This window comes from Homo sapiens, chromosome 8, assembly GCF_000001405.40.
Source record: "Homo sapiens chromosome 8, GRCh38.p14 Primary Assembly".
Taxonomy (NCBI): Eukaryota; Metazoa; Chordata; class Mammalia; order Primates; family Hominidae; genus Homo; species Homo sapiens.
The window spans coordinates 23,123,398-23,146,883 of record NC_000008.11 but is presented as its reverse complement, the minus strand read 5'-3'; the positions used below and the strand labels follow the sequence as shown (position 1 = coordinate 23,146,883).

The 23,486-nt window shown below is 47.1% G+C and overlaps 1 protein-coding gene across 1 annotated transcript in view, besides 2 other annotated features; it reads left to right on the top strand.

Moving 5' to 3' along the window:
* Positions 1-11,296, top strand: part of TNFRSF10D (TNF receptor superfamily member 10d) — a 28,440-nt gene extending 17,144 nt beyond the window's left edge. Inside the window, exons 5-9 of the mRNA NM_003840.5 lie at positions 963-1,216; positions 1,795-1,826; positions 2,249-2,434; positions 8,624-8,696; positions 8,881-11,296. Of these exons, the coding sequence (NP_003831.2) occupies positions 963-1,216; positions 1,795-1,826; positions 2,249-2,434; positions 8,624-8,696; positions 8,881-9,014 (679 nt within the window). The 3' untranslated portion in view covers positions 9,015-11,296. The remainder of the gene's footprint in view (positions 1-962; positions 1,217-1,794; positions 1,827-2,248; positions 2,435-8,623; positions 8,697-8,880) is intronic.
* Positions 1,567-2,294: an enhancer, noted in NCBI's record as "H3K27ac-H3K4me1 hESC enhancer chr8:23002103-23002830 (GRCh37/hg19 assembly coordinates)". NCBI's record gives its function as "activates a minimal SCP1, AML or CMV promoter by ChIP-STARR-seq in primed H9 embryonic stem cells {active_cell/tissue: H9 hESC(primed)}" and the evidence as "EXISTENCE:reporter gene assay evidence [ECO:0000049][PMID:30033119]".
* Positions 17,003-17,072: a silencer, noted in NCBI's record as "silent region_19020". NCBI's record gives its function as "represses an Ori minimal core promoter by ATAC-STARR-seq in GM12878 lymphoblastoid cells {active_cell/tissue: GM12878}" and the evidence as "EXISTENCE:reporter gene assay evidence [ECO:0000049][PMID:35858748]".

The window sequence follows — 23,486 nt, the reverse complement described above, 5'->3', positions numbered from 1 at the left end:
CGCTGACCCCATGGATCCTCCAGGCCCGAGGCCTCCCTGAGCCTGTGGGGTTTCCTGAGCCTGCGTTGGCCCCTCCTGGTCCATCTGCCTGTCCCCACCCCTACCCCCTGCAGCAGCCCCTTCCCATACCCTCCCCAGCAGGAGTCCCTTTGTCCAGGCTGAATTGTTCACTGGGCACAGGAGGTGACTTTCTAGGTCCCTTGAACCTTTTCAGGCAACCTAGGAAATGTAATTTCCTTTTGAAATCAGAAGAAAACACTTGAATCCAGCCTGGCTTGTATTTTTCCTTACTCTAAGTTGGTTTAAAAAATGTAATTTTTAATATTTTTTATGTGGGCAGGGACCCATAAAGACAAAAGTGTCCGTAGCCCACAAAAGTCATAATAAGGCCATGGGTGGAGCTCCCTTAAGTTCCCATGAGGACCTGAGCCCACCCAGCCGGCCTCACCCCTGGCCCCCGATTTCTCACTAAGTCCTTCTTTATCCTATTTGGGTTTTAGGGGCAAAGAGTAACTTGCTCTTCTCTGGCCCTCCAGTGTTTGCTGTGGTTGGGAGGAACCAGCGGCAGACAGGGTGGGGCGAGGACTCACTTGTACTGTGTGTTAACTGGAGGAAGGGGCTCAGCTTGTGGCCACAGGGGCTTGTGATCTTCCCCTGGAGTGCGGCTCCTCCTAACGCAGGCCTCCCCTGCAGCCCAGGGAAGCTCAGTGTGTGCCCAGCACAGAAGGCTCCTGGATCTACAGCTCTGACCCCAGAGCAGGGAGGCCGAGGGGCTGAAGTGTGCATGCTCAGACCCTTCCCCAGCCTCAAGAAGGGAGCACAGGGGGACCCACTGCTGACACGAGGAGCCTGTCCTCCTGACGCCTTCTCAGGGACTTTGGGCAGGGAGGGTGGCTCCTCTTTCATCCCACCTGGCCAGCTTTCCATCAAGAGTCCCTGTCTCCCTCTCTGTGTGTACCCAGGTGTCCCAGAGGGATGGTCAAGGTCAGTAATTGTACGCCCCGGAGTGACATCAAGTGCAAAAATGAATCAGCTGCCAGTTCCACTGGGAAAACCCCAGCAGCGGAGGAGACAGTGACCACCATCCTGGGGATGCTTGCCTCTCCCTATCACTACCTTATCATCATAGTGGTTTTAGTCATCATTTTAGCTGTGGTTGTGGTTGGCTTTTCATGTCGGAAGAAATTCATTTCTTACCTCAAAGGCATCTGCTCAGGTAGGTGCTGGCTGAGGGTGGGAGCGCTGGGCACTGTCTGCCCTGCCCTCTCCCACTCCGTTCCCACAGACAGTAATCCCCATCCCTGCCCCTGGTCCAAGCGTCTCCAGCCTGGCTTGGTCTTCCTTCTTGTGATCGCCCCATCCCCACGTCCTGTGTATCCCCAAGGACCCTGGTCTCATCAGTCCCTCTCTCAGGGCTGGGGGACCCCTCATCTCCCGGAGCCAACTCCAGGAGGGCAGGGCCAGTTCCTCCTATCTTCAGGCCCAGCCAGGCAGGGGGCAGTCAGCTCCTCAACTGGGTGACAAGGGTCAGGATGAGAAGTGGTCGTGGGATTTATTCAGCCTTGGTCAGAGCAGAACACAGAGATTTTCCACGTGTTGGTTTTTACTCTAGTTCCCCTTCTCATCCCCCTTCCTCAGGGTGTCCCCTAATTGCAAGGCCCCATTCTGTCCCCAGCCCCAGGGCTCCTTGTCCAGTGTCCCAGCCCCCAGCCAGCCCTGCGCCCCACTGTCCTCTGGGAGGGAGGTGCTGCATGGGCCCCTCCCCGCCTGCTCAGGAGACTGCTTCTTTTCCAGGTGGTGGAGGAGGTCCCGAACGTGTGCACAGAGTGAGTTGGTTTCTCCAGAAACTGGGGGCTTCGTGGGTTCAGGAACTGCTTCCCATCCACTGCCGAGCCTGGGTGGGCACAATCCCTTGTCCTCATGGCTGCCCTGACTCTCTGACATGGCCTGGGGGATCTGGGCTGACTGTGGGGGACACACGGCCATTTTGAGCAGCACACAGACCAGCAGGCCGTGCTGCAGCCCTGTCCTTCCTGCAGCCTCGGTGACACCATCACTCCACAGCTGGCCCCATGGGGATGGGGTGACCACCTGACCCACCTCAGCATGGGGTCCTGGATGTGCTGAGCCTCAGCTGCCTGGGGTGACCTCATTGGAAGGGGTTGGGGATGGCAGGTCCAGCTGTGTACTGGGGACCCTGAAGCTGAGCCCGGGGTGTGGACTTGAGTGGGCTCTTTGTCTTCCCAAGGTCCTTTTCCGGCGGCGTTCATGTCCTTCACGAGTTCCTGGGGCGGAGGACAATGCCCGCAACGAGACCCTGAGTAACAGATACTTGCAGCCCACCCAGGTCTCTGAGCAGGAAATCCAAGGTCAGGAGCTGGCAGAGCTAACAGGTGTGACTGTAGAGTTGCCAGAGGAGCCACAGCGTCTGCTGGTGAGTTGAGGAGGGACTGTGCCCTGCCTGGCGTGCAGCCTGCACAGGACTTTGTAGACAGTGGGACATGGCAGTGCCTCCTCTTTCCTGGCCCAAGGGGACATGGAGCCTTTGGGAGACAGGGGACTGCAGGGGACGGAGCAGCTGCACTGAGGTGGTGACCGTGCCAGTCTGCAGGACATCTGCTTCTTACTCCCTGTCCTGTCCTTGCTGTGTCCCCAGAGCCTGGATCTCCACAGGCATAGAGTGGGTGTCACAGGGTTCACTGAGGACTGAATAAGGCTGCACAGTCTCCATCGTGTGCTCCTAACAGAAGTCAGGGAGCCCTTGCTTGAAACAGCGGAAGTTTTAAATGTTCTTCAAAATTCTTACTACATTGAACATATTTCACAGTAAATCTTTGTCCAGATTTCTGATCAAGTATGTAAGGAGGCTTCTGGGAAGAAGTAGGATTTCTGAGTCAGTGTGTAGAAGTGCTTTTGTATTACAGAAACACACACATCCAGTTATTCACATCGATTCACTAGTTTTGATATGACATTGAGTAGGTGTGAAATCTGGACACACATTTGTTTTTTTTTAAGTTCTTTCCTTCAGGATAAAATAAGATGATCCTACCTAATTTTTTGTGGACTTTTAAAGAATGATTTGGTTTGTAGCATACACCAGTGGAACGTAGGTGCCATTTCTTTTGTGATGCTGTGTGAAGTGAGGAATTCCCTGAATTGTTGTGAGTCACTGTCTCCTTCCTCCACGCCTGTTTAGGAACTGATTCTCCTATTTTTCTCTGCTTTTGGCTCCTCTTTGATCACTTGTCAAATACTTACCTAGACAAGGTTCACTTTCCACCCATTTTCTTCCTTTCCTATAACTATACCCCATTTTTTTTAATGAAGGGAAGTATAAAAAGGTAAGGAAATAAACAAAAAATATCAACAATTACTCCACGCTGCTGAATCGCATTGCACCTTTGTTTTGTAATTTGTAGAGATCTGATCTTGCTATGTTGCCCAGGCTGGTCTCAAACTCCTGGCCTCAAGTCATCCTCTCACCTTGGCCTCCCAAAGTGGTGGGATTACAGGCATAAGCCACTGCACCTGGCCGCGCTGCACATTTTTTGAAAGTGGTAAATGCAGAGCCACACATCTGCCACACTATAGAAAGGTGCTCAGTCGGCCGGGCGCCGTGGCTCATGCCTGTAATCCCAGCACTTTGGGAGGCCGAGGAGGGTGGATCACAAGGTCAAGAGATGGAGACCATCCTGGCCAACATGGTGAAACCCCACCTCTACTAAAAATACAAAAAATTAGCCGGGCGTGGTAGCGGGTGCCTGTAGTCCCAGCTACTCGGGAGGCTGAGGCAGGAGAATGGCGTGAACCCGTGAGGCGGAGCCTGCAGTGAGCCGAGATCACGCCACTGCACTCCAGCCTGGGCTACAGAGTCAGACTCCATCTCAAAACAAAAACAAAAACAAAAAAAAAACAAAGGTGCTGAGTCATAGTGGTAGTCCCCTAACACTTCCTCCAGCCCCCAGCCCTTCTTCATTCAGGTGAATACAACAGATAATTTCTTGTGATTCTTTGTAGAAATCTTTATGCATATGCCATGTATATTCATACAAGCGTATGTACATTTTGTTTACATTACAGGGATTACTTTACATATAATACACTGCCAAGGAAACTTTTTTTCATTTTTTATTTTTCCTTTTTCAAATTTATTTTGATTCAGGGGGTACATATGTAAGTTTGTTTGATGCTGAAATTTGAGGTATGAATGATTTTATCCAGGTTGTGGGCACAGTATCCAACAGTTAGTTTTTCACCCCTTCCTCCTCTCGCTCCCTCCCCGCCCTGGTAGTCCCCAGTGTCTATTGTTGCCATCTTTATGGTCGTAAGTACCTGATGTTTAGCTACTACTTATAAATGAGAACACGCAGTATTTGGTTTTGCGTTCCTACATTAATTCACTTAGGATGATGGCCTCCAGCTTCATCCATGTGGCTGCAAACAATATGATTTCATTCTTTTTTATGGCTGTGTGGTAACCTATGGTGTATATATGCCACATTGTCTTCATCCAATCCACTGTTGATGGGAACCTAGGTTGATTCCATGTCACTGCTATTATGGATAGTGGTGTCTTTTGGTAGAATGATTTGTTTTCCCTTTTTTTTTTTGAGAGGGAGTCTCGCTCTGTCACCCAGGCTGGAGTGCAGTGGCACAATCTCGGCTCACTGCAACCTCCGCCCCTCCAGGTTTAAGCAGTTCTCTGCCTCAGCCTCCAGAGTAGCTGGGATTACAGGCATGTGCCACCATACCCGGCTAATTTTTTGTATTTTTAGTAGAGACGGGGTTTCACCGTCTTGGGCAGGCTGGTCTTGAATTCCTGACCTCGTGATCCATCCACCTCGGCCTCCCAAAGTGCTGGGATTACAGGTGTGAGCCACCGCGCCCAGCAGATTTGTTTTCTTTTCTATGTATACCCAGTAGTGGGTTTGCTGTGTTAAATAGTAGTTGTTTTAAAATTCTTTGAGAAATCTCCAAACTCCTTTCCATACTGGCTGAACTAATTTACATTCCCACCAAAAGTATATAAATGATCCTTTTTCTTCATAGTCTCGCCAGCATTTACTGTTACTGGCTTTTTAATAATCGCCATTCTCACTGTATGAGATGGTATCCCACTGTAGTTTTGATTTGCATTTCTCTGATGATTCATGATGATGAGCATTTTTTCATATGTTTGTTGGCCACTTGTATGTCTTCTTTTGAGACATGTGTGTTCATGTCTTTTGCCCATTTTTAATGGGGTTGTTTTCTGTGTGTTCATTTAAGTTGCATATGGCTCCTGAATATTAGACCTTTGTCAGATGCATAGTTTGTAAATATTTTCTCCCATTCTGTAGGTTGTCTGTTACTCTGTTGATACTTTTTTTTTTTTTTGAGATGTACTCTCGCTCTGTCACCTAGGCTGGAATTCAGTGGCATGATCTCAGCTCACTGCAACCTCCGCCTCCCGGGTTCAAGTGATTCTCCCTCCTCAGCCCCCCTAGTTGCTGGGATTGCAGGCACGTGCCACCATGCCCAGCTAATTTTTGTATTTTTAGTAGAGATGGGGTTTTGTCTTGTTGGTCAGGCTGGTCTCGAACTCCTAACCTCAGGTGATCTGCCTGCCTCGTCCTCTCAAAGTGCTGGTATTATAAGTGTGAGCCCCCACACCCGGCCTGTGGAGAGTTTCTTCTGCTGTGCAGAAGGTCTTTAGTTCAATTAGATGCCACTTGACAATTTTTGTTTTTATTGCATTGCTTTTGAGGACTTAATCATAAATTCTTTGCCATGGCTGATGTCCAGAGGGGTGTTTTCTAGGTTTTCTTCTAGAATTCTTATAGTTCATGGTCTTACCTTTAAACTTTTAATCTACCTTGAGTTAATTTGTGTATATGGTGAAAAGTAGGGGTCTAGTTTTCGTTGTTCTGCATATGGCTAGCCAAATATCCGAAGCATCAGCTGTTGAATGGGGAGTTGTATTATTCCATTTTCATACTGCTATGAAGAAATACTTGAGACTGGGTAATTTATAAAGAAAAAGAGGTTTAATGGACTCACAGTTCCACATGGCTGGGGAGGCCTCACAATCATGGCCTGAGGTGAAAGATGAGCAAAGGCACATCTTACATGGCGACAGGCAAGAGAGCGTGTGCAGGGGACTGCTCTTTATAAAACCATCAGCTCTTGTGAGTCTTATTCACTATCACAAGAACAGAACTGGAAAAACCAGTCCACGTGATTCAGTTACTTCCAATAATTTTTTCCAATTCTGTGGAAAATGACATTGGTAATTTGATAGGAGTAGTATTAAATCTGTAGATTGATTTCAGCAGTATGCCCATTTTAGCCATATTAATTCTTCCAATCCATGAGCATGGAATGTTTTTCCATTTGTTCATGTTATCTATGATTTCTTTTAGCAGTGTTTTGTAATTCTCTTAGAGATCTTTCACATCCTTGGGTAGAGGTATTTCTAGGTATTGTGTGTGTGTGTGTGTGTGTGTGTGTGTGTGTGTGTGTGTGTCTGTTGTAAATGGGATTGTGTTATTGATTTGGTCCTCAGCCTGAACATTATTGGTATATAGATATGCTACTGATTTTTTTTCTTTTTGAGACAGAGTCTTGCTCTGTCACCCAGGCTGGAGTGCAGTGGCGCGATCTCAGCTCACTGCAAGCTCCACCTCCCAGGTTCACGCCATTCTCCTGCCTCAGCCTCCCCAGCAGCTGGGATTACAGGCGCACACTGCCACGCCTGGTTAGTTTTTTGTATTTTTAGTAGAGGTGGGGTTTCACCGTGTTAGCCAGGATGGTCTCGATCTCCTGACCTTGTGATCCGCCCTCCTTGGCCTCCCAAAGTGCTGAGATTACAGGCGTGAGCCACCGTACCCAGCTACGCCCCGTTAATTTTTGTATTCTTTAGTAGAGACGGGGTTTCACCATGTTGGTCGTGCTGGTCTTGAACTCTTGACATCGTGATCCGCCTGCCTCGGCCTCCCAAAGTGCTGGGATTACAGGTGTGAGCCACGGTGCCCGGTGCTACTGATTTTTATACATTGATTTTGTATCCTGAAATTTTGCTGAAGTCGTTTATTAGTTCCAGGGGCCTTTTGGTGGAGTATTTAGGGTTTCCAAGGTATAGAATCATATCGTCCATGAAGAGTTTTCACTTCTTCATTTCATATCTGGATGCCTTTTCTTTCTTTCTCTTGCCTGAGTGCTCTGACTAGGACTTCCAGTACTATGTTGAATGGGAGTGGTGAGCGTGAGCATCCTTGCCTTGTTCCAGTTCTCAAGGGGAATGCTTCCAGCTTTGGCCCATTCAGTATGATGTTGGCTGTGGGTTTGTCATAGATGGCTCTTACCATTTTGAGGCATGTTCCAATGGGAACTTTCTAATGTTTTTTAACATCCAAAAGAGCAAACACCTCTTCCATACTTTTTCAAAATGTATTATTTTACCCAGATAAAATTTAGAATTAAAAGATTTCCTCCATCCTTCCCTCCCGAAAAACCTCAGTTGCCGTTTTATCAATTCGCTTTAAAATTAAAAATTAATCTAGAAACACTGAATATTTTATTAATATTCAGTATTTCCTTATCAAAGGAGATAACATTTGGTGTCAAGTATTTTATTGTAACTGAGTTGTGATTTGTGTTCCTCTTCAAATAAATTATTCCTGTTTCTTATGGCTGTTTAGTATTTTGTATCCATTATGAGTTGGATAACCTTGTAATTCTGTTTGCTAATTTATTGCATTTGCTATGTTTTTAACATTCCTCCAGACATACATTTCTATTTCAATATTGTAGTTTCATCTTAGGGGTTTTAAATGACGTTGAAAATAATGATTATTGTGTCTGCCCTCTTCCAAAAGTCTTGCCTCATTTTAATTTTCCATCTTGTTGCCTAGGCCAGACCTTTCAGAACAATATTCAGCTGTGCTTAGGGAAGGCAGGTGTTTGGGTCCTGATTTGATTTCTGGGGAAGGCCTCCAAAGTGTCACTCTTAGCAATGGCATTCACTTTTGGTTTCATATAGAAATTCTCATCATCAAGAACACAGCTTACTATTCTAAAAGGGTTTGAAAAAAATCAGAATTGCTGTTTAATTTTACCAAATGTCTTTCCAGCCTCCATAGAGACTGCCATTTTATTTAATTACGCTATTGATATGGTAGAGTACTGATGATCAAAGATCATTTACAGTCTTGGGATAAATCATTTTGTTAGGTTTTCCTGGGTGCTCTCATATATAGTCTGCCGAGACTCTGCTGGTAAGAATTCTGGAAGGAAGTGATCATTTCTTGTGAGGGTGGGTGGGAGTTGATTAGATGGGGCAGAAGGGGACTTTCTGGGGTGTGGCAGTTTCTATGTCTTGATCAGGGGATAATTACACAGGCCTATAGTCAAAGTTGGTCAGAACACTTACAAAGTGAGCATTTACTGCATGTCACTTATGTCTCAATGAGCCACCAGCACACAGAGCCCAAGAGCTATGGAGGACCAGAGGTTTGTCTCCATCTCCATGGAGACCCAAGAGGGAAAGCGCTGCAGGTCTCTTGCTGGCTAGTGGTCAGGGTCAGTACTAGACTGCAGGACTCCTGACTCTGACCAGAGCATTCCCCACTGTGTGTTACAGGAACAGGCAGAAGCTGAAGGGTGTCAGAGGAGGAGGCTGCTGGTTCCAGTGAATGACGCTGACTCCGCTGACAGTAAGTGTTTTGTGCCTTGAGACGCAGCAGGAGGACAGGGAATAGGGACGGTGTCCTAACTGCTGTCCCTATAGCTGAGAGGGCTCTTCTGGAGGTTTCACTGCTGGAAGCAGGGGGCCCCATGTCGATCCTGTGCTGATCGTCCTTGGAGCATTGAGACCCTAAATCTCTTCTCTCTTCTCAGTCAGCACCTTGCTGGATGCCTCGGCAACACTGGAAGAAGGACATGCAAAGGAAACAATTCAGGACCAACTGGTGGGCTCCGAAAAGCTCTTTTATGAAGAAGATGAGGCAGGCTCTGCTACGTCCTGCCTGTGAAAGAATCTCTTCAGGAAACCAGAGCTTCCCTCATTTACCTTTTCTCCTACAAAGGGAAGCAGCCTGGAAGAAACAGTCCAGTACTTGACCCATGCCCCAACAAACTCTACTATCCAATATGGGGCAGCTTACCAATGGTCCTAGAACTTTGTTAACGCACTTGGAGTAATTTTTATGAAATACTGCGTGTGATAAGCAAACGGGAGAAATTTATATCAGATTCTTGGCTGCATAGTTATACGATTGTGTATTAAGGGTCGTTTTAGGCCACATGCGGTGGCTCATGCCTGTAATCCCAGCACTTTGATAGGCTGAGGCAGGTGGATTGCTTGAGCTCGGGAGTTTGAGACCAGCCTCATCAACACAGTGAAACTCCATCTCAATTTAAAAAGAAAAAAAGTGGTTTTAGGATGTCATTCTTTGCAGTTCTTCATCATGAGACAAGTCTTTTTTTCTGCTTCTTATATTGCAAGCTCCATCTCTACTGGTGTGTGCATTTAATGACATCTAACTACAGATGCCGCACAGCCACAATGCTTTGCCTTATAGTTTTTTAACTTTAGAACGGGATTATCTTGTTATTACCTGTATTTTCAGTTTCGGATATTTTTGACTTAATGATGAGATTATCAAGACGTAGCCCTATGCTAAGTCATGAGCATATGGACTTACGAGGGTTCGACTTAGAGTTTTGAGCTTTAAGATAGGATTATTGGGGCTTACCCCCACCTTAATTAGAGAAACATTTATATTGCTTACTACTGTAGGCTGTACATCTCTTTTCCGATTTTTGTATAATGATGTAAACATGGAAAAACTTTAGGAAATGCACTTATTAGGCTGTTTACATGGGTTGCCTGGATACAAATCAGCAGTCAAAAATGACTAAAAATATAACTAGTGACGGAGGGAGAAATCCTCCCTCTGTGGGAGGCACTTACTGCATTCCAGTTCTCCCTCCTGCGCCCTGAGACTGGACCAGGGTTTGATGGCTGGCAGCTTCTCAAGGGGCAGCTTGTCTTACTTGTTAATTTTAGAGGTATATAGCCATATTTATTTATAAATAAATATTTATTTATTTATTTATAAGTAGATGTTTACATATGCCCAGGATTTTGAAGAGCCTGGTATCTTTGGGAAGCCATGTGTCTGGTTTGTCGTGCTGGGACAGTCATGGGACTGCATCTTCCGACTTGTCCACAGCAGATGAGGACAGTGAGAATTAAGTTAGATCCGAGACTGCGAAGAGCTTCTCTTTCAAGCGCCATTACAGTTGAACGTTAGTGAATCTTGAGCCTCATTTGGGCTCAGGGCAGAGCAGGTGTTTATCTGCCCCGGCATCTGCCATGGCATCAAGAGGGAAGAGTGGACGGTGCTTGGGAATGGTGTGAAATGGTTGCCGACTCAGGCATGGATGGGCCCCTCTCGCTTCTGGTGGTCTGTGAACTGAGTCCCTGGGATGCCTTTTAGGGCAGAGATTCCTGAGCTGCGTTTTAGGGTACAGATTCCCTGTTTGAGGAGCTTGGCCCCTCTGTAAGCATCTGACTCATCTCAGAGATATCAATTCTTAAACACTGTGACAACAGGATCTAAAATGGCTGACACATTTGTCCTTGTGTCACGTTCCATTATTTTATTTAAAAACCTCAGTAATCGTTTTAGCTTCTTTCCAGCAAACTCTTCTCCACAGTAGCCCAGTCGTGGTAGGATAAATTACGGATATAGTCATTCTAGGGGTTTCAGTCTTTTCCATCTCAAGGCATTGTGTGTTTTGTTCCGGGACTGGTTTGGCTGGGACAAAGTTAGAACTGCCTGAAGTTCGCACATTCAGATTGTTGTGTCCATGGAGTTTTAGGAGGGGATGGCCTTTCCGGTCTTCGCACTTCCATCCTCTCCCACTTCCATCTGGCGTCCCACACCTTGTCCCCTGCACTTCTGGATGACACAGGGTGCTGCTGCCTCCTAGTCTTTGCCTTTGCTGGGCCTTCTGTGCAGGAGACTTGGTCTCAAAGCTCAGAGAGAGCCAGTCCGGTCCCAGCTCCTTTGTCCCTTCCTCAGAGGCCTTCCTTGAAGATGCATCTAGACTACCAGCCTTATCAGTGTTTAAGCTTATTCCTTTAACATAAGCTTCCTGACAACATGAAATTGTTGGGGTTTTTTGGCGTTGGTTGATTTGTTTAGGTTTTGCTTTATACCCGGGCCAAATAGCACATAACACCTGGTTATATATGAAATACTCATATGTTTATGACCAAAATAAATATGAAACCTCATATTAAAAAGGTGTGGTGTTCGTTTATTTCCATCCTCCTCTCCTGCTGTGACACAGCTCTGAGTGACAGGAGGCCAGGGCTTCGTTCCTGCTGGGCCTCCTTACTTGTCCCTTCTCTGCCTTCAGGCTTGGCCCGCCTGGCGGTGGGGGTGTGGGGGGAGTTTCCTGCCTATGACTCCCTGGATTTTAAAGGACCAGGTTCTTGGCTACTGGAATTCGCGCCTCCTCCCTGTTTCTCTCCTGTCTGCTCCTCCCTCTGGGGAGAGGGACAGCAGCCCTTCCCTGTATCCCCATCAGTGGACCCAGGTTGCTCAGCCCTGCAGGCACCTGTGAGAGCCATTTCCCACTCCCCTTGCGCTGGAGGACCTGCTCTCCCTCTGGCCCACAGCTCCCAGGAGGCCCAGGCGTGCTCCCATGCTGTCTGCCTTCCCTAGAGGGGAGGTGGGGCTGCGGCTGCTCCATGCTACCTCCTGCTTCCCGCCTGCACTGCCCATGGCCTCACTTGGAACCCTGGGCTGGGTGAGCTGCATGGAGGCTGAGCATGGAGGGGCCTGGGCTTGGGCAACATGGCTTCCCCCAGAGTTAGAGCTGCTTGTGTTGCCACCGCCTACTGTCTATGAGGATTTAACCCCTGATCTCCAAGTCTTGGCGCCACACAGCCATGGCAGGGGTTGTCTTTGTTTCAAGTTTGCTCTATCCCAGACCTAACCAGCGTTTTCCTGGAGCCCACCCCATGGCCAGGCCCTCTCAGCTAGAACATCTTTCTCAGGCAAGGTGACTCCTGAGCTCTGAGCCCAGAGCCCCACTGCCTCCTGGCTCTGCCCTTCCTCCGTGGGACTGCATCTTTTACATCTAAGAAGGATGTGGGCAGTGAAATTTGGGTCAGGGTTAGAAAACAGAAAGGGGCAATTGTGGCCCAGCCTTTGCCCCTTGGGGGCTGGGAGCTACCATTTCCATCCTCCACATTCCTCCAGCCCGGCTCTCCTCCTCTCTGGACCAACCCTGCCTTTCCTCCTTCTCCATTCTCCCTCTTCTTCTTCCCTTTATCCCACCCAGCAGTAAATAAGTGTCACAGGGGAGAGACCAGTATCTGGCCCAGTGGCGCAGAGGTAACAGATTTTACCAAGACAGTTGTAGGTAAAGAAAAGCAGATTTATGGCTGGGCACGGTGGCTCACGCCTGTAATCCAAGCACTTTGGGAGGGTGAGTCGGGTGGATTACTCAAGGTCAGGAGTTGAAGACCAACCTGGCCAACATGGTGAAACCCTGTCTCTAACAGAAGATACAAAAATTAGCCAGGAGTGGTGGCATGTGCCTGTAATCCCAGCTACTCGGGAGGCTGAGACAGGAGAACTGCTTGAACCCAGAAGGGGAGGTTGCAGTGATCTGAGATCACACCATTGCACTCCCACCTGGGCAGCAAGAGCAAAACTCCATCTTAAAAAAAAAAAAAAAGCAGATTTATTAGAGAAAGTAGGAAAATGTGTAGCAAGGAGGCAATGGGCAAGCCAGCAGAAGAGGAGCTGACTGCAAAGTAACAAAGGCTTACTGGAGATTTTATAGGCTAGTGTTTATGCCAACTGTTGAAGAGGGCTTTGTGCAGTACTGGTAAGCCAAGGTTGCAGTGAGCCGACTTGCAGGTGTCTGATGATAGCTGAGTGCGGGAAGATTGTGAGTTATTTGCACAGGAGGGCTTTGTGTCCTGGACCACGAAGAAAGGCAGATTTATGTAAACCGTGAAAATCTGAGACAGATCTCAGTTAATTTAGAAAGTTTATTTTGGCAAGGTTGAGAATGCATGCCCTTGACATAGCCCCAGGAGGTTTTGATGACATGTGTCCAAGGTGGTCAGAGCACAGTTTGGTGTTTTGTTTGTTTTGTTTTGTTTTGTTTTTGAGACAGAGTCTTGCTCTGTCACCAGGCTGGAGTGCAGTGGTGTGATCTTGGCTTACTGCAACCTCCACCTCCCAGGTTCAAGCTTCTGCCTCAGCCTCCTGAGTAGCTGGGATTATAGGCGCCAGCCACCATGCCTGGCTGATTTTTGTACTTTTAGTAGAGATGGTTTTTCGCCATATTGGTCAGGCTGGTCTCAAACTCCTGACCTCAGGTGATCCATCCACCTTGGCCTCCCACAGTGCTGGGATTACAGGTGTGAGCCGCCACACCCAGCTGGTTTTATACATTTTAGGGAGAACATGAGACATCAATCAACATATGTAAGATGAACATTGGTTCAGTCCAGAATAGGTGGGTTAACTGGAAGCAAAAGCAGGACAACTCCAAGCGGGGAGGGGGCTTCCAGCTCATAGGTAGATAAGAGACAAATAGTTACATTCTTTTGAGTTTCTGATTAGCCTTTTCAAAGGTGGCAATCAGATGTGCATTTATCTCAGTGAGCAGAGGGTGAATTTGAATAGAATGAGAGGCAGGTTTACCCTAAGAAGTTTTCAGTTTTGACTTTTCCCTTTAGCTAAGTGATTTGGGGCCCCCAAGATTTACTTTCCTTTCACGCTTACCTGCTTTCTCTTTTTGCTTTCCCCTGCTCCCACCAGTCTGGCTCACTTTCCCTAATTAGGACTCCACAATAAGGCTCTGTGTCCTATGGCCTTTCATTACAAGAGACTTATTCTCTAGGCCAGTGCTCCTTTCCCTGACCTTTGACTCCAATCTGGTTCTCTCCCAACACACACCCTGGGCACCCCATGGAATGCCCCTCTGAAGGTGAGGATGGGAGTCTACAGTCTCAAGATGGACTTAGAGCCAGAAGTTTGTGTATGTATTTGAAAAGAAATCTTGGACAACTTTCTGACCAAGTTCATAAGGTAGCTTCCTGAAAGAAATAGAATTACTGTGTTAATGTCCAGAGGCATTTTTTTCTGCACACACACACACACACACACACACACACACACACACAAACACACTCACACCCATGTGCACACCACATACACATGCACAGTTTTGGTTCCAACAACACTTCATTAGTCTTGAGCTGATGTGCTTGCTCTTTCGTTTTTGTTTTCTCAAACTAGGAAGAAATTAATTAACTTAAATATGCATTTCTTTATTTTTGGACTTAGGTGTCACATGTTTATTAGCTGTTTGATTCTCTTTTCAAACTGATAACTTACAACTTTTATCCTGCCTATTGAGATACGGGTCCCTACCCATGCACTTTCTCAGATGCAGATAATAGGTTTCTACTTTCTTGTTTGCAATTTTATTTGGTCAAAGATTTCCATGTGCAGAATTTTTAATGTTAAGAAGCTTAATCTATTGATATGTCTATTTTGTCATTGATTATAATCTTATGAAAGTCCCCTCCTGGACAAAAGGTAATGTAAACTTCTTTAGTTTTTTTTTTTTTTTTTTTTTGAGATAGGGTCTTACTCTCTCACCCAGGCTGGAGCACAGGGCTCACTGCAGCCTCAACCTCCTGGGCTCAAGCTTCCTGCTTCTGTCAAGGGTTTATCCTTCTATTTTATTCTTTGTAGTCATCATGAATAGGATTGTCTTATAGTTATGCCATTTCTCATTAGACCAATAGAATCCTAAATCCTCTTCTCCCACCCTTTTCTCCTCCCCCTACTGTATCCGACCTTGTCCCCTAACAACACCCTACACCGATCTGTCTTTCCCTTCCTCTTTCACCTTCCCTCCTGGCTGTAGTTCAGGGCCTATATCAGGTAGAGGGCCTCCTGAGGGCCTGCGGAGTCCTGCATGACAGGCACTGGCCCCCGGATTCCTGAGCACTGGAGCTGAGGCTAACCTGAATTTGATGAGCAATTTGATTGCCCTGTTTCAAGAATTTAGTGTACTAGGCCGGGCACTGTAGCTCATGCCTGTAATCCTAGCACTTTGGGAGGCAGAGGTAGGGAGTTCAAGACCAGCCCGACCAACATGGAGAAACTTGGTGTCTACTAAAAATACAAAATTAGCCAGGCGTGATAGTGCATGCCTGTAATCCCAGCTACTTGGGAGGCTGAGGTAGGAGAATCACTTAAACCCCGGAGGAGGAGATTGCGGTGAGCTGAAATCGCCCCATTGCACTGTAGCCTGGCCAACAAGAGCGAAACTCTGTCTCAAAAACAAAACAAAACAAAACAAAACAAAATTTAGGCCGGGTGCGGTGGCTCACACCTGTAATCCCAGCACTTTGGGAGGCTGAGGCAGGCGGATCACAAGGTCAGGAGATTGAGACCATTCTGTCTAACATGGTGAAACCCTGTCTCTACTAAAAATACAAAAACAAAATTAGCTGGGGGTGGTGCCGGGCGCCCGTAGTCCCAGCTACTTGGGAGGCTGAGGCAGGAGAATGGCATGAACCCGGGAGGTGGAGCTTGCCGTGAGCCGAGATCGCGCCACTGCACTCCAGCCTGGGCGACAGAGGGAGACTGTGTCTCAAAAAAAAAAAGAATTTAGTGTACTAAAGAATGTAAAATGTTTCATTAATACTTTATTGTGCATTAATTACATGTTGAAATGAGAAAAGTTTGGTTATATTACATTGAATAAAATGTCATGAACATTAATGTCGTGTACTTCTTTCATGAGGATATTAGAAAATATAAATTTGTGTCTTGGCACAGTGGCTCATGCCTGTAATCCCAGCACTTTGGGAGGCCAAGACAGGCAGATCACGAGGTCAAAATATCAAGACCATCCTGGCCAACATGGTGAAACTCCATCTCTACTAAAAATACAAAAATTAGCTTGGCATGATGGTGTATGCCCGTAGTCCGAGCTACTCAGGAGGCTGAGGCAGGAGAATCACTTGAACCAGGAGGTGGAGGTTGCAGTGAGCCGAGATTGAACCACTGCACTCTAGCCTGGTGATGGAATGAGACTCCGTCTTAAAAAACAAAAAAACAAAAAAAAACCCAGAAAATATAAATTTGTATTCCTGACTCACCTTATATATCATCGGGTAGTGTATGTAGTACATTTCACACACATCTCATTTAATCCTCCTTATAGTCCCTGAGCTGGTAATTCTTGCTCCATTATACAAGGTAAATTATCCCTCAGAGTCTGTTTCCCCCCACCTAGCTCTGCACAGTACCCATGAGTGAAGCTAAGTTAGGTTTAAAACCAGGAAAACCAGGTTTTTGTCATCAGCAAGATAATTCTACAGGAGGCTCTCCACTTTTCCTCTCTTTGTGGAAGCACCAAATAAACATCTACACATGAATCAGTTTTATCTGAGAGAAACCCAGAAACTAGTGGAGAGACTCCTACACATGGGGAACTGAGAAAACTCCACATTGAAATGGGCAGGAAAAGCTGGGACACATTCACACACAAACACCACCCCGTGTACACTGCTGCGCATCAGGAGAAAACTCCCAACCCCCAGCTTCTCCCCCGAGGAGTCAAGTGCTTAGGCCACCCATATAGTACCCCAACTTTTACAGTTCCCCTGGAGGGTTTAGCTTTTACATTACCTAGATGTGGGAGCGACAGACACCTTTCCTGCTCACTCTTCAAACTGCAACCTGGGCAGGGCACCCACCAGAAGGACAACTGGAAATATGGCAGGTAAACCAGGCTGTGGCCCTGTAGTGCCATCGCTGTCCTCACTTGCAGTCTGGCACCTCTGTTCCTCCATGGCCCCTCCCCATGGCACTCCAACCTAGTCTTTAGAAGCTTCTGCCCCAAGCTGAGGGAGCCGGTACTGAGGCGCAGGTAGGAGCAGGTGCAGCTTCTGCTGGGTGGAGGACATGTGCCCTGGGAATCCAGTCCAGAGTGACTGACACAAGCCCTGAGGATGTGGTTTGTCCTCCCACACAACCTCACACTGCCAACACAGTCCACTGCGGTTTATACAGGCCCTCTGCATAAATAAGGCCTCTCTGTCTTATTTTACAAGAAGGAGCTGGGCCACACCAGAGTCACAGAGTTGAAGAGGAGCACCGCCAACCCTGGCCGTCTTTAGCCTCCAATCTCTGGGCTCTTTGACAGCCTGAGTGTCTAAGCTTCTGAGCCTTCAGAATTTCTCAGTTCTCACTTTGATAGACAGAGGGGCGGGGTGGAAGGACCTGGTACAGAGATTGGACCAGCCCAGCACTGACAGAGCGAGGACCTGGGGTCAGGAACTGAGTTCAGCTCCAGACTCATTTGAGGTCATCCTGACAGCTTGAGGACAGAGACCTTATCTCCATTCACAGCCATGGCAGGTGGTGGGGACTGGCCCCAGCTGACCACGGTTTTCCAAGTGCACAGCTGGGAATTCAGTCTTCCCTGCCACCCTCCTCTGCCATCTCATCTGAGGTCTGCGGATCATTTACACTCAGTCTCAGAAAACTCCCGGACCCTGGAAAATCCTCAAATAATGCTGAGAAATCAAAACCACAACAGTGAGATGCACCATTGTTTACTTGTTAGACTAGCAAAGAATGAAAGTTCAGAGTAGCAAGGGTGTAGGACTCTTGGTGTGAGAGTAAACTTGTTGTAATTTTCTTTTGGAGGACAATTTGTCAAAATCTAAACAAAATTTTTAAATCATTAACTCATCGACTCCGCAATTCTGCTTTTAAGTAGTGCACATGACTATCTGGATATGTGATACCTACAAGATGATTGCTGTTAGAATTTTCAAAAACAAATGCAACTACCCACAGAAGGCAACAGTAGAATGGACCATAGTTCCACTATGAAAGAAGCTACTATGCTTTTGTTAAAAAGAATGAGACAAATGAATGTATTGACCAAAACATCTAATATAATATATTAGCTTCAAAGTTTGGTTTTTTTTTGAGATGGAGTCTTGCTCTGTCACCCAGGCTGGAGTGCAGTGGTGTGATCCCGGCTCACTGCAAACTCTGCCTCCCGGGTTCACGCCATTCTCCTGCCTCAGCCTCCCGAGTAGCTAAGACTACAGGCACCCGCCACCACGCCCGGCTAATTTTTTGTATTTTTTAGTAAAGATGGGATTTCACCATGTTAGCCAGGATGGTCTCAATCTCCTGACTTCATGATCCACCCACCTCAGCCTCCCAAAGGGCTGGGATTACAGGCGTGAGCCACCGCGCCCGGCCTAGCTTCAGAGTTTTTAAAAAATAATTATGCCTGTAAATACATCTTTCTGCCAGTGTTTCCAAGGCATCCTGCAGGGTGTGGACCAAGGGGCCCCACCTGGTTTTGCTGACCCATCTCACTAGCATCCGTACAAGGCATTCCCAGGGATCGCTGCATCAGCTCTGGCCATGAGGATCTCATTGTCCATGAGGCTCGGCTGCCTCATGAGCGGGTTCCAGGAGTTAAAGGGTAGGATCTGTCCAAAGTTGTAGAAGCACAGCCTCTGAGCTGGGTGGAGAAAGCCATGTAGAGAGCCAGGTGAATTGGGACTCAGTTCAGAAAGGACAGAAGTTCCCACATTAGGCCCAGAACCCAAGGGGGGAACCTGGAGAGCCCCCTGCATGGATGAACCTACTGCTCCAGCGCCCACCTGCTTCCCATCCATAGAGAGCGCGCCCACACTGCCTGGCCTCCCTGACACCCAAGGCGCTGCAGGGAGTCAAGGTCATCAGAGAATCAGCCCTCACACAGGGCTGAGAACCCATCCAGTGAGGCTGAAAGCAAAGTGGGTGAGAGTCCGAGGGAGGGAGAGACAGTGGCTGCAGCAGGAGCTCAGAGGAGGGAGGAGGCTGCCTGGGCTGCGCTTGTCATGGGAGCAGGTCCCAGGGTGGCCACTTCTGCATCTGTGGAAACCGCAGGGTCTGTGGGGGGGATCTCTGTTTACACCCAGCTCAGCCTCATTCCCTGAGGCCGGGGCAGAGGTAGGTGGGGCAAACAGATCCTGAGCAATAAGTCACCCCAAGAGGGAGCAACCCCACCCAGATCTCAGGACTGCGAGGGTGCGAACCCAAAATATCTGAGACAGGTCTCAATCAAGTTAGAAAGTTTATTTTGTGGCCAGGCACAGTGGCTCCTGCCTATAATCGAACAATTTGGAAGGCCAAGGCCAGTGGATCACTTGAGGTCAGGGGTTTCAGACCACCCTGGCCAACTTGGCAAAACCGTGCCTCTACTAAAAATACAAAAATTAGTTGGGTGTGGTGGCACATGCCTGTAATCCCAGCTACTCGAGAGGCTGAGGCACAAGAATCTCTCGAACCTGGGAGACAGGGGTTACAGTGAGCGAAGACCCTGCCACTGCACTCCAACCTGGGTGACAAAGCGAGACCCTGTCTCAAAAATAAATACATAAATAAATAAAAATTTTTTAAAAGCTTATTTTGCCAAGGTTGAGGACACGCCCATGACACAGGCTCAGGAGGTCCCAACCAAAATGGTTGGGGTCAGCTTTCTGTTATACATTTAGGGAAAGATGGGATATTAATCAATATGTGTAAGATGTACATTGGTTCTGTCCAGAAGGGTGGGACAACCAGAAGTGGAGGCTTCTAGGTCATAGGTAGATAAGAGACAAAAGGTTGCATTCTTTTGGGTCTTTGATCAGCCTTTCACTGAATACACAGCTTATATGTAAAAGAGTAGAGGTGGAGGAATAGTCACTCATGCCTTAGTCTGGCTCAGTGAATCTGCATTTTTCATAAACAATAGGGCGGAGGAAGCAGTCAGATATGCATTTGTCTCAGGTGGACAGAGGGATGACTTTCTGTCCCACATGTGAAGATCAGCTATCAATTTACATTGCCAGAGTGAAATTCAGCAGAACTGTTTTAGGGTAAGGATCTTGAGGCCCACAAGGAATTCCCTCATGGGCGAATTGTGAGGGAGGTATGCAGCTTTTTAATCTTTGTAACTATCTTATTTAGGAATAAAATGGGAGGCAGGTTTGCCTGACAAAGTTCGCAGCTTGACTTTTCCCTTTGGCTTAGTGATTTTATGGTCCCAAGATTTATTTATTTTTCACATGGGATTCAATAAAATGTGTGTGCATCACACGGCACACCGCCTTCCTTAGAGAGAGAGAGGGCCAGGAATACGAGCTTATGTTTTGTACAGCCTCGTTTAAAGAATATAAAAAGAAACAAGTGACATTCACTGATATTCATTCACCTTTTTCATCTGAGACCCTTCAGCTTTTAGGTGTCTGTAAAAGACAGTGGGCCAGGCGCGGTGGCTCACTCCTGTAATCCCAGCACTTCGGGAGGCCAAGGTAGGTGGTCAAGGAGGCCAAGGTCAGGAGATCGAGACCATCCTGGCCAACATGGTGAAACCCTGTCTCTACTAAAAATACAAAAATTAGCTGGGCATGGTGGTGTGTGCCTATAATCCCAGCTACTAGGGAGGCTGAGGCAGGAGAATCGCTTGAACCAGGGAGTTGGAGGTTGTGGTGAGCGGAGATTGCGCCACTGCACTCCAGCCTGGTGACAGAGCGAGACTCCATCTCAACAAAAAAAAAAAAAAAAAAAAAAAGACAATGGAGAACCCCCTTGATCAGAGTCAGAAGTCGTGGATTCCAGTAGTGACCCTGAGAAGCCACCAGCTGTGGGACCTGGTTCATGTCACCTCCCCTCTTTGGTCTCCATGTAAATAATAAACCACCCATCCTGCAGAGCTCACAGATTCTCTGTCCCTGTTTGGTCACTGAGATGTAAGTTAATGCAGTAAACTATTCAGTTAAAAAACAAACAAACAAATAAACAAACAAAAAACAACAGGGTCTTACTCTGTCACCCTGGCTGGAATGCAGTGCTGCAATCTCAGCTCACGGAACCTCAGTCTCCTGGGCTCAAACAATCATCCCACCTCAGCCCCTTGAGCAGGTGGGACTAGGGGCACACCACCACCCCTGGCTAATTTTTGTATTTCTAGTAGAGATGGTATTTCATCATGTTGCCCAAGCTGGTCTGAAACTGCTGGACTCAAATGATTTGCCCATCTCCGCCTCCCAAAGTGCTGGGATTACAGGTGTGAGCCACCGGGCCCCAGTCTCAGCTGTTCATTTCTTAAGTGTTTCATTTCCTCTATGACAACTGTATACTCACATGTAACCATTATGCAATCAAGACAGAGAATTTCCACCATTCCCAGAAAGTCCCTTTCTGCCCCTTTTAGGCAATTTTCACCACCCCAACAAGACACAGCTACCTCCTCCCTGGCTTTTAGGAGACTAATGACTTCCATATATATGAGGGTACTTTGGAAAATCTAACGTAAAAGCTCATTCAGAGAATGTGAATGTGTTCAAAAATAACGTACCGTATCAATAGTATCAATAAGCAAACATCATATCGTCTCAGTGGAGGCTGAGAAGCCATTTAGCAGAATTATTCACCTATTCTTGTTCTTAGAACAGAATAGGAGGACAATTCACAATGATAAGAATTTTTGTAGAAAAACAAGAGCCGGCCGGGCGCGGTGGCTCACGCCTGTAATCCCAGTGCTTTGGGAAGCTAAGGTGGGTGGATCACCTGAGGTCAGGAGTTCAAGACCAGCCTGGCCAACATGGTGAAACCCCGTCTCTACAAAAATACAAAAATTAGCCGGGCTTGATGGCGGGTGCCTATAATCCCAGCTACTCGGTAGGCTGACCCAGAAGAATGGCTTGAACCCGGGAGACAGAGGTTGCAGTGAGCCGAGATCCTGCCATTGCACTCCAGCTTGGGCGACAGAGGGAGACTCCAAAAAAAAAAGAAAGAAAGAAAGAAAAGAAAAGAAAAACAGAGCCAATTAATGGTGAAAGACCTAGGTCTTCCCAATGAAATGAAATCAAGATTGGGCCAGGTGCGGTGGCTCATGCCTGTAATCCCACCAGTTTAGGAGGCCGAGGCAGGCGGATCACCTGAGGTCGGGAGTTTAAGACCAGCCTGACCGACATGGAGAAACCTTGTCTCTACTAACAATACAAAATTAGCTGGGCCTGGTGGCGCATGCCGGTAATCCCAGCTACTTGGGAGGCTGGGGCAGGAGAATCACTTGAACCTGGGAAGTGGACGTTGTGGTGAGTCGAGATCACGCCATTCCACTCCAGCCTGGGCAACAAGAGCGAAAACTCCGTCAAAAAAAAAAAAAAAAAAGAGGCCGGGCGCAGTGGCTCACACCTGTAAGCCCAGCACTTTGGGAGGTCAAGGTGGGCAGATTAGTTGAGGCCAGGAGTTCGAGATCAGCTTGGCCAACATGGCGAAACCCCAGCTCGCCGGGGTAAAAATACAAAAATTATCCGGGCATGATGGCACACATCTGTAATCCCAGCTACTCGGGTGGCTGAGGCAGGAGAATTGCTCGAGCCTGGGAGGCGTAGGTTGCAGTGAGCCAAGATCATGCCACTCCACTCCAGCCTGGGTGACAGAGTGAGACTCTATCTCAGCAAAAAAAAAAAAAAAAAAAAAAAAGGAATAACTTATCTGAAGAAAATCACAAGACCTAATTGAGTTATAAGAAAATACTTGAATTGAAGCATGTTCTATGATAAAAAAAAGTATTGAAGAGATCTTAATTCTATCTTTTTTAAGTGTTTATTTTTAAGTATATAAATTTTTTTTTGTCTCACTAGGTTGGTCTTGAACTCCTGGCTCCAGTGATCCTCCCTCGGTCCTTCCCAAAATGCTGCGATTACAGCAAGAGCTACTTAGCCCAGCCTCTTATGATCAGCTTTTTGGTAAGGAAACTGCTCCTCATTGTACAATTTTACAAATGGCCCTTGTTCTCATTAATCTGAATTTAAGATGGCATATGTTATCCTTCTAGAGGCAGGTGGCACCACATTAGTTAGAAATTTCATGAGCGGATTCTGGTAGGAGTGCCCAAGAAATCAATGGTGGACAACATGGATGAGATGTCTATTCTCTTGTGCCTTCTGAATGACACAATCCGTCTGTCCTTCCTTCACGCACTTGTGCAGTAAACATTTACCAACACCTGCTTTGAGCCAGGCACTGCTCAAGGTTCTCATGGCATATAAGGTGATAAAACAAGATGGGGCACCTCCCACACGGAGGTGACAGTGTCCTGTGTAATATGTGTAGTCTGGGCTACGTCATCCAGGCAAACTTTTTGGTGAATTTTCAAGTAGACAGGAAAAGCAGAATTGGGAATCAGACAAGGGCGGCTCAGGTGCAGCTGAATTGTTAAAGGCAGGGGCCTTTCCTGAACACATTGAATTGTCTTTCTGGGTCTCGGCTTTCCTCATCTGCAATAATGGGCTGCTAATACCTCCTTACGGAACTATTGTATTAATTAAAGAAGGCAGTGTATATAAAGCAGTTAATTCACTGTCTGTAAATATTGGG